Below are 13,376 nucleotides of genomic sequence, written 5' to 3' on the forward strand. Positions count from 1 at the left end.
ACCCCCACACGCTTCCCACATCCGCCCCATACCCCATACGTACACTCACAGACACAGACACACAACTCTACACACATGTGTACATAAACATACATGTACGCATGTACACACATACACGAATACCCACATACCTACATATGGATATACGTACCCTCACTTACACACACACAGACACAGGCACACCTACACACACGTACACCTGTGCACAAGCACACACATACAGGTTTATACACATATACATGCCCCCAGAAAGACAGATACACACACACACACACACACACACACACACACACACACACCACTCTGCAAATAGCCTGGTTACATACCAAGTTGTGATGTGAATTTCCATCTGACCTCACACTGAGGCATTTGTCACAATTCATAAACCAATACTGATACATTAGTATTTTTATTTTTATTATTTTATTTTATTTTATTATTTTTTGAGATGGGGTGTCGCTCTGTCACCCAGGCTGGAGTGCAGTGGTGCGATCTCGGCTCACTGCAAGCTCCGCCTCCCAGGTTCATGCCATTCTCCTGCCTCAGCTTCCCGAGTAGCTGGGACTATAGGCGCCCGCCACCACGCCTGGCTAATTTTTTGTAATTTTAGTGGAGATGTGGTTTCACCATGTTAGCTAGGATGATCTCGATCTCCTGATCTCGTGATATGCCCACCTCGGCCTCCCAAAGTGCTGGGATTACAGGCATGAGCCACTGTGCCCGGCCAATACATTATTATTAACTGAAGTCTATACTGTATTCAGATTTCCTTGGTTTTTACCTCATGTCTCTTTTCTGTCTCAGGTTTCCACATTACATTTAGTCGTCACGTCTCCTTGGGCTTCTTTTTGCTGTGACTGTTTCTCAGAATTTCCTTGTTTTTTGATGGCCTTGACCCAATACTTGCTGGGTATTTCATAGAATGTTCTGCAATGATAAAGTTGCCTTTTTTTTTTTAAATCACATCATACTATCAACATGATTTGCCATTGTTGGTGCTGACCCTCACTACCTGGGTAGTGTTCGTCTGGTTTCTACGTGGTAACGTTGCTCTGTTTCTCTGTTTTCATGCTGCACTCTGGAAGAAAGTTACCATGTGTAGTTCACACTTAATGGGGAGTTACACTCCAAGTCCTTGAGGTAAGGAGTATTTATGTCCATTATTTATAATTCTTCAGCATGTGAGATTTGTCTCTTCTCATCCACCTAGCTGATAATGTATTTATATCACTATGGAGGAATGGGTATTTATTTATATTTTGGATAATTTCTCCTCATGTGTATGATATTTTACTATAAAAAGTTAAAAGTGACGCAGAAACTATAAAAACGAATTTTATTTGATAACAAACACCGTGGTAGTCAAGAATAGGGCACTTTTGTTAAAAGAGCAAATAAGTCTTTGGACACATAAGCAAAAATAAAGCTTCAAGGATAGGGGAGGTGATAATCTTACTCTATTCTATGTTCTTTGCACTGTACTGAAAATATTGTGCCCAGTTCTGGGCCTAATCTTTCAGGGGAGATGTAAGTAATTGGATGCCATTCTGAGAAGTGGCTGCAGATCCCTGAAACCCTATACAAAAAAAAAAAAAAATGAGATCTGACTTACTTGGAATTTATGATAATTGAGGAGTTTAGACATCTTTACCACGTATTATTTCAAAGATAGAAAAAAGGCATGGTCCAGCCCCAAGTTCTGGCTATCTTCTCCTAGTCTCCCCACTCCTGCCCACTGTATAAAATAGATAAATATGTAATACATGATATTTGCGCAATCACAAACACTCCAAACATTAGTTATCACCCTAATGCTCAAAAAGCAACAAACGAACAAAAAACTCGTATTACCAACAAGATCTCTGTGATGTCCCTGAGATGATCTGTTATGGCTGGTACCACCCTGTCCATGTCCTGAACTTTGGGTCACTATGACATCAACACACAGTCATTCTCTGCTTGGCAAATCATGCCGTCATTATGTTACCCTCATCATAGGAAAATGTTCTTCAATTATTGTAACAATGTGATTTTAAAAATGTTTGAGCTCTGAAATATCTTTCAAATATCTGAAAGAAATAGAACAAGACATCCTCTGACTCCACGTGGAGTGGGAAGACAAACGTCAAGATGAATTTGACCTAGAGGAGAATGTTCTAATATCCCGAGCCATCTTGAATGGGAAAATCAGCCTTCAGAGGAAGTGAAGTGCCTGTTCTCAGAGATGTTCTGGCAATAGACAAGATGACCACTTGGTGGGGATGTTACAGAGGGAATTCCCATTTTAGATGGGAAGTTCCTTCTTCAAGTTCTCTTCTAAACTCAACATCCACCAATTCTAAGAAAGTGTACATTGGAGGATTCTCAGCATTTTTTTTTCCCCAGCATTTTTTGCCCAGCAATTTTTTTTGGGGGGGCGGCAATCCTTTCTTTTGGGTAGGATGTTTTGTTTTCAGATGGCATTTTCCAAAAGGCCCCTCTGCTGGCAGGAGGAAATGACACATTGACCCACTGGCGTCATTAGCAAGAATGAGTTGGTCCAATTGGCTCCTTTTCCCTGGAAGGCTGAGAGCAAGCCTGCAAGCAAGGGGACACTGGCCAAGCCATGATGGCCTCGAGAATAGCTTCACGACAAAATGGTGGGGACAAACAAGGGACACGATTTAGCTCAATAGGATGCAGGAAATCTTCATTCAGCGGTAGCTCTGAGATGGACTGACCCTGAGGTTGGGATGAGGACATTCAGGGCTTAGAAAGGATTGGGCTAGTTCTCACCTGGGGATTCTGCAATTCCATATATTCCCCAACTGGTAAATAGCCTTCCTTTCCACCACCGTGCACCCCCACTAGTCTCTGCTCCTGCAGCAGGCCTCCTGGAAGCACTGCGTCCTCAACTCTGCAAGGCCAGGAACCGGGTCTATATTGTTCACTACTGAATTCCTCCATGGCTGGTGCAGAACTGGCCACCTAGAAGACTCTCAATAGAGATGTGATTCTTCCTATATTTTTCCAACAAATATTAATTATGTACATGTGATGTGCCAGGCACTGGACTGTGCACGTGGTGAACAGTAAAGGAAAAACAATAAACAGATAAGGTTCCTGCCCTCATGAAGTTTATGGTCTAGTAGGGGAGACAGAAAACGTTCTTAAACTGATCAAAGTAAATATATAATTGTGGATTGAGCTAAGCGCAACAAAGGCAATGAATAAAGCGTGCTGATAGGAGATACTCAGATTGGGTGACAGGAGGTGATGTTTAAGCAGATATCTGAAGGATGACAAAGGAAACAGCCGAGTGCTGAACTGAAAGAAGAAATAAATGAGTGAGGAGGTAGCTGTCAAGAACCTCTCTCTCTGCTCAGAGGAAAAAGGCTAAGAGGCAGTGGGTACTCTCAACAATGAGAAAAGTGCCTACCATCCATGAGTGCCTGTAAGTGCCAGGGACGATGCAAGAATGGTGTCATTCACTTTTCAAAACAGCCCTTGGAAGAAAGACTCCTCCTACCGCCAATTTACAGAAGAGGAAACTGAGGCTTAGGAAGGGCAGGTAACTTGCCCAGTGCCTCACAGCTAAGCCAGGATTCGAACTCAATTTAGAAGTCTGTGAGACCCGAAAGCTCATGTTCTTAATACTGTTCAGCCCCTTCACCATCAGGGCTCAGGGAGTATCCTTCATGGGACTTCTGTGTGGCCTGAGGGTGGCTTTTGCTCATAGATTTTACCCTCCCCTTGGGAGCCCCAGGACAGAGTAGGTCTGGGAACTCGCAAGGGCTGCCTCCAGGAGAAAAGCCACCTCTCTCAAGTGGGCGTGCACTTGGCAGGAAGCCTGCGCAGGTGTTTGGCTCAGCCCAAATGTGGGAGCCACTGACCAAATGCCAAGACTCTCAGCGAAGAGCCATAGCTAGTCCTGTCTCCCCACCTGGAAGCTGTTTTTCGAACGGAGCTAACTGCCAGGATGCTCTGGGCTGGTGAGGCCACAAGGATTGTGAGAGGTGCCCTGTGGCTCAGATGGCACCCAGGAAGGAATTGGGGTCTGTTGAGGGAGGGAGAGTTCAGGGCTAGCCAAAGGCAATTCCAGATCCCTGCCCCTAAGCTTCCTGGCCTGGAGCTGGTAACGTCTCCCTGACTCAAATGTCCATGTGGCTGGGAGGGCAGACAACAGTTGCCATCACTCCACGCAGACCCTCATAACTGCCTTGTTGTCCAACCCCACAGTCCCACAGCACAGTAATGGTTCACAAGACACTGCTTCCCACCCCTTCTCCCTTGGGTCTTGAGTTGGCTTTGAGCCCAGGTGGGCTCTGCCTCACCTCCCTTTACAGGGGATACGCTGCTGGGTCCCTTCCTTCCCGAGTCCTGCCTCCCCAACATCATCCACAAAAGGCATCCTCTCCCTTCCTCCTCCTGCCCCTCATTTAACTCCAGCACGTGTTTTGAGACAAGTCTATACTCCACTGGACACTTTGTTTTACACGACTTCCTCTTATTCTTCATTCTCCTCCTGTTTAAAAAACATGAATCACTAGCATTTATGAGGTTCCTTCTACTGTTCCAGGCAGGATATGATATTATTTTATAGCCAAAGGGATGAAGATCTAGGGAGGTGAAGTGACCCTCCCAAGACTATGTAATTAATAAGTAGTGGAGTTAAGATTAGATTTGAATAGAGGGAAACTGACCTCAAATAGAGAATGTTTCTCTCTAGCTATGCCAAAGTCCAGCCTTTATCACAACCTTGCCTCCCTCCAGCCAGGCATGTGGCCCACATGGGGCACGCCCTGAGCCCAGGTGCGGTGACCCCTCTCTGGCTTAGCACGGTTAGGTGGTGCTGTAGTTGCAGAGTGCTGGCTTTTAAGCCGCTTGTGAGTAAGGGATTTATTTTTTCCCAGCCTCAGTTTTTCTCTCTGTAAACTGACCATAATAATAACACCCACCTCAAACAGTTTTATAAGGTTGAAATGGGGTGAAAGTAGGAAAGATCTAGCACATAATGCACTAATTTTTTTTTTTTTTTTTGCCTAAAGCAGGCAGTGGAATAGAATGCTTAGGGGCATACAGCTCTGAGATCAGGCTGCAAGACTCCACTGCTGTGTGATCTTGACTAAGTCTCTTACCCTCTCTGTGTCCTGGTTTCCTCACCTGTAAAATTACTATAATACTAGAATCAACTTCATAAGGATATTGTATTCAAGGAGGATGAGAGGAGTCCCAGTGAATGGAGGCTGGCATAGAATAGGCTTACAATAAAGAGAAAGAACAAATAAGCAGCTATACACAGCCTCTGCCACAAAAAACTACCAATAGATATTAGCCGCTATTAGTTAATTGTCATTATTATCTCTCCCTGGCATGTTTCCACTCAGGCAAGACCAAAGCACTTTCCTCTACCAAGGAATATCTTCCTCTACTTTCATATCCCTCTCCATCCAACCCTTCAGCCTGCCTCAGTTGGGATTTGTAGGAGTCCTGAAGCTATGGACCAGATCAGAGGTGCCTTCCCTTCCAGAATCTATTTTCCAAACTTCATCGATTGCCTATATTTATATGCATGCATGCACACACACGCACACACACACACACACTCTCACTCACTCCCGAGTCAGAAAAAGGACTCAGCACCCAGACATACTGCAGGCTCTTGAAGAAGACAGTATTTTCCTGTGAGCTAGAGGATCTTCCTGTTATTCTCCATGCAGTTCAAATTCTGTCAATTATTATCCAGTTAGTCATCGCTCCAGAGGTGGACTGTCATTAAAAAAAAATAGAAGGTGTGTGTTTGTGGGTGAGTATGTGCATGTGTTGTGTATGCAGGGGGTGGGGAGGGGCGAGAGCGGTCAAATAGGAAGTGCCTTGGTATTTATGTTGAAGTGCACACTGGTTTAAATTACCCACTGGGAATATGATTATGCTTAATCTATGCTCAGTTGAAAGGGGCTGGGGCTGCTTTCTCCCCTCCCTTCTTGACTCTCTGTTCACAGAACTCAGGCTGCCTCCAGCCAGCCTTTGCCCGCTAGACTCACTGGCCCTGAGCACTTGAAGGTGCAGCAAGTCACTGAGAATGAGCACTTTCTTCTCGGACACAGCATGGATCTGCCTGGCTGTCCCCACAGTACTATGTGGGACAGTATTTTGCAAATACAAGAAGAGCTCAGGGCAGCTGTGGAGCTGGATGGTCTGCCTGGCAGGCCTCTGTGCAGTCTGCCTGCTCATCCTGTCCCCTTTTTGGGGCTTGATCCTCTTCTCGGTGTCATGCTTCCTCATGTATACTTACTTATCTGGCCAAGAATTGTTACCTGTGGATCAGAAGGCAGTCCTGGTGACAGGTAAGCAGACGGTGCTACAATTTTCACTGAGGGTATGATCTGAAACTTGCTTTGCCTTAGCAGGACTTTGTCAAATCTGGCTTAAAAATAAAATACTTGGCATGGAGTAAATGAAAGCCCTCACCCAAGTATTTTTCATGACACTGTTTTCGTTCCGTTTTTTCCAGGAGGTGCATTTGAAGGGGCTGGTAGTGGGAGGGAAGGAGAGGATGAAGTGCACCCAGACAATGATTTTGTTAAAATTTCCCAGGAATAAATATTAATAGGCAAAATGGCAATATTTCATGTGTTCTATTGTACCCAGGAATGTCCCATAGATTGTTTTTTAGGCTTAAATGGACTTTTGTTCTGACATCATTGTTTGGCCAGGTTCTCCACCTGGACTCTTCTTCCCTAGGTATGCAAGAACGCTTACAAGCCAAGTTCTACTTGTCCCTTGCTGTTTTGAAATATTGAAGGGATTCACTTACCTGGGCTGGAGACTTTGCAGTTTGCTTGGCTGCTGTCAAGAACCTTGTGTCCTGTCTGAACTGTTCCTCATTAGACCTCTAATGTTTCTTAATTGGACCAACTTGGCATCGTGTCCAACATTCAGTTGCCTGTTAGCTGAGCTGCCAGTTTTTCCCTTGTTTGTGTGTGTGTGTGTGTGTGTGTGTGTGTGTGTGTGTGTGTGTTTCCCCATTGCAAGTGTGAGGCCAAATTAAATTTCTTTGAGTTGTAAAATTTTTGCTTGGTTATGGAGTTTAAGCTTGGATAGGGCTGTAATTAGGATTATCCAGCGTTATCCTAACCCAGAAAGCCCTACCAAATAAAAAAAAAATCAGCTGTGGAATCATTTGGGGGAGATCATCACCCCTCTGACCATGATCCTCAGGGTGAAGGCAAGAATGGCATGGGGATGTGGTTGGGAGAAAATCTGGGGCTTGACAATTTGCAGAGAAACAGACTTTGTTTTTGGGTTAAAGTAAAATGCTTTCTTGAAACAAAATGCAAATTGGTGCTTGTTGGGGTTAGACAAGCCACAGAAAAGAAGCTTCTTTAAATTAATTTTTGAAAGTTTAGAGGGAGAAAATTCAGTCAATGGGATGTTTATCTGCAAGAATGTCTGATATCACCTGGAATCATGTATCTGGGAGTCTGGCTGGATTTTCCACTTTTTTATTAGAATTCTCAAATGGCTTATCGGTGAAATTTGTAAGAGAGTCTCAATTTTCCTGTTCTGTGTCCTGTTCTGTTATGAAACCTTAGGATGAGCTCAGGCAAACCACAGGGTAGCTGAGAAAATGGGAATCCCTTCTTGCTTGTTTATTTTGTCAACATTCTTTATCCTCTGCATTTCAAGATGCAGGTGTTAATTAATGCTCACAAAATATGCACCCAACTCAGTGAGCCCACATCAGCCACTGAAAGGTGCCGTGCATTTAGTGTTGAGTGAGGATGATTGAATCAATTAGGCAACTCAAGCTCAAGGACTAATCCCTGCATGAAATGCTTATGGCAATGAAGAAAGCTTAGAATTAAGATGAGCACTACATATATTTAAGGATGACTGAAATGTCACTTTCACGTTCTTTGTTATTTTCAAGTTCTCTGTCATTTTTATGAGGAATGCTATGTGCTCATATCATCCTAGACAAGGCCTCAAGACCTTTGTATGAAATCGAGAAATTTAAAATGAATTCATTTTGTTAGACCACAACTCTTTAAAGAATGAAGAAGCCACGCTGAGTTTGGAATAACCTTTGTTCCAGATTGGCTTATGATAACATAGATTAGCACGCATTGTGGTGGGGCAGGACCAAAGAAAAATGTGGCAGTGTACATCAAAACCATACATATGGTTCCTTTATCTGATAATTCAAGTCTTGGAAATTTATTTTGAAGACATAATCTGAAATATGAAAAAAAGAGTAGAAGCAAAACCAAAATGGCACATTCAACACAATCTTATTATTTAATTTAGATTAATATTAAATATCAAAAGCAACAAAAAGGGTGATAATATATGGTACATCCTCTGGGTATAACAATGTGCAACCATTAAAAATGACAGCCACAAGGACTGTGTTACATGGAAAACTGCTTGGGCCAAAGGAAAACACACAGGAAATCCCAGGGTTGGAACAAGTCTACAGCCACGTCAAATGCATAGATTCCTGGGCTGGGCAAAAAGCTGTGATAACAGCTGGAAGAAATAGTTTGTATATGGTTGGATTAGTGTGCTGGAAATAGTTTGTAAATGAAAGGAAATAGTTTATAAAGGAAATAGTTGGTTAATGGTTGGATTAGACTATTTACGTGTTATTTTCTCTCCTGGATTTCAAATTTCTCTGGTGTGATTACATTACTCATACAATAAAAATACTTAAAAGAGAACACAAAACAGCTAAAGCTCCTTTTAGTTTGTATTTAATTTTGGACCCAGGTGAGAGGCAATTACAAAGACAAATTTAAAAAAATGACTTTTTTCTCCCCTTTGAGCCCTTTATTTCATTTTGCTAAGATGTTCAAAAGTCTGTTGCCTCAGAGACAATATAATTACAGTAAGAAAAAGTAAGCAAGCATAGAGTGTTTGAATACATATTTGTCTTCAAGATACCTGAAACCACAGAGGCCATTCAAATATTTAAAATGTATGTGTGATGCATTTTATTTTATTTTATTTCATTTTATTTTTTGAGATGGGGTCTCAATCTGTTGCCCAGGCTGGAGTGCAGTGGCATGATCTCAGCTCACTGCAACCTCTGCCTCCCGGGTTCAAGTGATTCTCCTGCCTCAGCCTCTCAAGTAGCTGGGATTACAGGCACGTGCTACCACGTTGGGCTAATTTTTGTATTTTTAGTAGAGACAGGGTTGTATGATGCATTTTAAATGTATAACTGTAAAATGAACAAAGAGCAGACCAACACGATTGTAATAACATCTCAACCACAACATAGTGGGAAAAAACTTTGAAGACACACAGGCTTGGGTTTGAATCCTGCATCTACCTTGCCTTAGGCTAGGTCCCCAGAGGCAGTGCTTTCTGTGAGGATTTGTGGGAAAGATTTATTAGGAGGGTTTCCAGAGAAGATGGGCAGGGAAAAGGAAGAAGCCAGGTAAGGGTGAGACATTGAGAAGTCCTCTGAAGATCACTTGGGCTTGATCACCCTGGGCGGACGTGGGGTGGTGTGGATCACTCATCAGAGCTGTGCCAATTGGAGACTAGAGAGCTGTAGTCTTTATGCCTTCACACCAGTCAATCATTAGTTAAGGGCAGTCACCCCTGTTCCCCCTTGGTTGTGGGCAGGAGGGGAGACTTAATTCCATGCACTTCTGGCACCATGTGGACACTGGCTGGCAAAGTGGGTTCTGGTCCTTTGGGGAAAGAATCGCAGGTGCTGGCTGCTGGGAGTCAAAGTGCACCATGGATTGATGCACACAACAGTGGGAGGGTTCTGGGGGAATAGCATCTTATTTGCTGCATCTTTATTACTAGCTGTGTGGACAGCTGTGTAAACTTTGGTGCTCGGTTTTGGATTTTGGGACTCTGTTTTCTCCTCTGTAAATGGAAAATAATACACACACACACACACACACACACGCACAAACACACACACACCCCTGCATATGTTATACTACTATAGATGGAGTTAGCAGATGAGAGAGAGAGAGAGAGAGAGGGAGAGAGAGAGAGAGAGAGAATGACTGTATTGGGGTGGTGAGGGGAAAGCTTGAGTAGTTAGGAAGAACATGAAGGAACAAAAAGAACAAAAGAAAACGTTGACAAACAGAGAGAAGAAGCATTCATGTATTCACTCAATAAATATTCATTGAGGGCCCAGTATGTGCCATGCATTTTCCAGAAGCAAAGGGGGAAGAAAATTTTAAGACCAGGAAATTACTGTCAAGCGATGGGATCAAAATTCCTACTTTTCCTTCATCTTGGACACACATTCACTGGAGTTCCTTCCCCCTCTTCTGAGGTTACACGTTGTCCTTCTCAGCCTACCCTCTAAGCTTGGCAGGAGATGCACAGGTAACTTTAAGTTTCTATCCTCTGGCCTTTCATCCTGCCCCCTCCAGTCATCTCAAATATTGAGAACCGACTCAGCATCTACTGTGTACAGAGCAGACACCTCAGGGCTTCATGGACCACTGGGGAAGACACGGCCACACCCAACTGTGGCTGTGTGATGGGGCACATAAGAAACCTCCAGGTTCATTCCCAAAGCGGATCCCAGGCAGACACAGGTCTTGTGTGTGGAGCTGGGGAAAGCTTGACAAAAAAAGAGGGACCTCGTTAAGAATCTAAAATTAGTTTTCTAGGGGGAAAGTGAGAAGGTATTCCAGCCTAATTGGTTAAGTAGCTACAACAAATACAGCTAGCACTCAATAAGGCTTGCTGCATTAGATAATTTTTAATTGAAAATTTCAAAACTGGATATATTGGAGAACGGATCCAGGAGGAGAAGTAAGATCTGTTTTCAGTGAAAATATTTTATGCTCACAAGAAAGTGTCTCACGTGAGTGATCATCCCTTCTTGCAATTACTGAACAGTCCAAATAAGGTTCTCAAGTTGAATACCATGGGTATCATCTTGGGGTTTGGACTCCTTTGGATTTCACGTTAGATTATTAAGATGGATAAACATTGACAGTGGACTAAGAGACTAAGAGAAATAACATCTCTGTGCTCTAACCTTTACATGCATTTTATATTTGATTCTCACAACCCTAATAATTCACATTTGTAAACAAGGAAATGCGTCCAAAGTCACTGAGCTACTAAGTAGCCAAGATTGGACTAAACCCAGATCAGATCCATCTCTCACCAAAAGCCATCCTCTTAACCACTGTCATTAGAAGTGTTAGATCCATAGTTGGTATTAGACCACAAAGGTTACCCAGGATATAAAACGTGTCCATTCAATCAACAAGTAAATATTGAACATCTGTTATGTGCCCATGACTCTGCTTAATACAGAGCTTGGCAATTGATTGGGTGTAGAAGATGCTTATGAGGGATGATGAAATAAGAGTACCATACACAGGGCTAGGGATGTTTGCAGAGGGTGATGATTTGAGACATGCCATGTGCTAAGCTTGACTTCAGAACTGAGTCTGAGAGCAGTGAAGGGTAGTTCAAGTGAAGTGTCACTGGAAATTGGAAATAATGAAATAGAACTTGGTTAGATTTGTAGATAGATGCTGGAGAAGCATGAGCAACAAAGTGATGGTGGATGTTGAAAGGATGGCCCTTAGTGAGTCTATAATTCAGTCTACCAGATGATTTTTACATGAACAAATGTCCCCACTTATCATGCGGTTTAAGTTTTACCTTTACCTACTACAGGGAAGCATAAAAAAGGTTTTGATAACCCGGGTAATTTTGTGAAAGTTTGAACAATGATTGTATCAGGCATTATAGATGGAGTGTTTTGACTGGGGAGTATTCTGACTGCATGGAAATCCATGCCAACTATACTGCAAGCGGCTTGAAGGCAGGAACCAGGTCTCTTTTTATGACCATGTGCCTCTTCTCAGTCTCTCAGCACGTTAGGCCTAACACAGTGTTAATGAGCGAATGCACAGTGAGTGAACCAACCATGTGGGTGAAACGTCCTCTCCTTTTCATGGTCGTTAGTTGGACACAATAGGATTGTCCCAATCTGCCCACTCACTTAGGTACTTACCTTTGCTGTTCTTTTTGCTGGGGTCATTTGCATAAAAAGGGCAGAGTGACATGGCTGAGCTGTTGGAAGCTCCATTGTTCTGTAGTGACTTAATTGTTGGCTTGCCCTGGACAAGGCTTTATGCTGATTTGGTTCTAAGCGTGCTCCTGCTTACCCAGGATGTGGCACAAATAGAACATCCACTGGCTTCCACCAGTCTGCTGAAACTGCTCTCTAAGTGTCACTGGTGTCCTTCTAATCACCAGAGCTTGACTTCTGCTCCAGCACTGCCGACCATACTTTCTTTCTTTTCATGGCCTCGTTAGCCTTGCAGGAACTGCATTTCCATGCTTCTTTGTCCTTTGACTCTTCCGGGTTCTTCCTACACTTCCTCCAAGGTAATCTCTGACTCTGTCTTTACTCCACCTTCTTATATGGCTGCATTCTCTACCCAGCAGCAAAGTCATACCTGCTCCTGTGGTATCAATTATCTCCTCTGAGAGAGGACTGGCAAATCGTGGTTTTGTATACCTGACATTCTTCTGAGCTCCTGACTCATATTTCCAGAATTTTAGCCTGAAACTTTAAATTTGGCATGTTTTAAAAAAAATTTATCATCTCCTCTTGTGATCCTTTTCCCTTTCTTTTCTTTTCTTTTTTTTTTTTTTAATTTTTTATGCACAGAGTCTCGCTCTGTCACCCAGGCTGGAGTGCAGTGGTGCGATCTTGGTTCACTGCAATCTCTGCCTTCCAGGTTCAAGCAATTCTCCTTGCCTCAGCCTCCCGAGTAGCTGGGATTACAGGGGCCCACAACCATGCCTAGCCAATTTTTGTATTTTTTAGTAGAGAGGGGGTTACGCCATTTTGACCAGGCTGGGCTTGAACCCCTGACCTCAAGTGATCTTCCCGCCTCAGCCTCCCAAAGCGCTGGGATTACAGGCATGAGTCACCACGCCCAGCCTCCCACAGTGCTAGGATGACAGGCGTGAGCCACCACGCCCAGCCTCCCAAAGTGCTGGGATGACAGGCGTGAGCCAGAACTATCGCACTTGGCCTCAGTGTCTAAAACTTGGTGGAGGGTGGTAAGTTCCATGCAAACTGGAGCACATACCTCATGACTAGAGAAGGCAGCTGCTTCCTATTTCCAGTCAATTATTGCCACTTTGCCATTTTTGTGGTATTTAAGAGGAAATAGAAAATTGTGGATCTTTGTGTGTGAAATCTCCCATTTAAAACAAGTTGGCAATGATTTCTTTCTTATATTATATTTTATTTTATTTTATTTATTATTTTTTGAGAAGGAGTTTTGGTCTTGTTACCCAGGCTGGAGTGCAATGGCACGATCTCGGCTCACTGCAACCTCCTCCTCCTGGGTTCAAGCAATTCTCCTGCCTCA

General features: G+C 43.4%; 1 protein-coding gene across 2 annotated transcripts in view; it reads left to right on the plus strand.

The window, feature by feature from the left end:
• Positions 1 to 5,889: 5,889 nt before the first annotated feature.
• Positions 5,890 to 13,376, plus strand: part of HSD17B2 (hydroxysteroid 17-beta dehydrogenase 2) — a 63,282-nt gene continuing 55,795 nt past the window's right edge. For both annotated transcript variants that reach the window (NM_002153.3, XM_047434049.1), the window contains exon 1: positions 5,890 to 6,326. In NM_002153.3, coding sequence (NP_002144.1) covers positions 6,062 to 6,326 — 265 coding nt within the window. In that variant the 5' untranslated portion in view covers positions 5,890 to 6,061. The remainder of the gene's footprint in view (positions 6,327 to 13,376) is intronic.

This window comes from Homo sapiens, chromosome 16 (genome assembly GCF_000001405.40).
Source record: "Homo sapiens chromosome 16, GRCh38.p14 Primary Assembly".
Classification (NCBI taxonomy): Eukaryota; Metazoa; Chordata; class Mammalia; order Primates; family Hominidae; genus Homo; species Homo sapiens.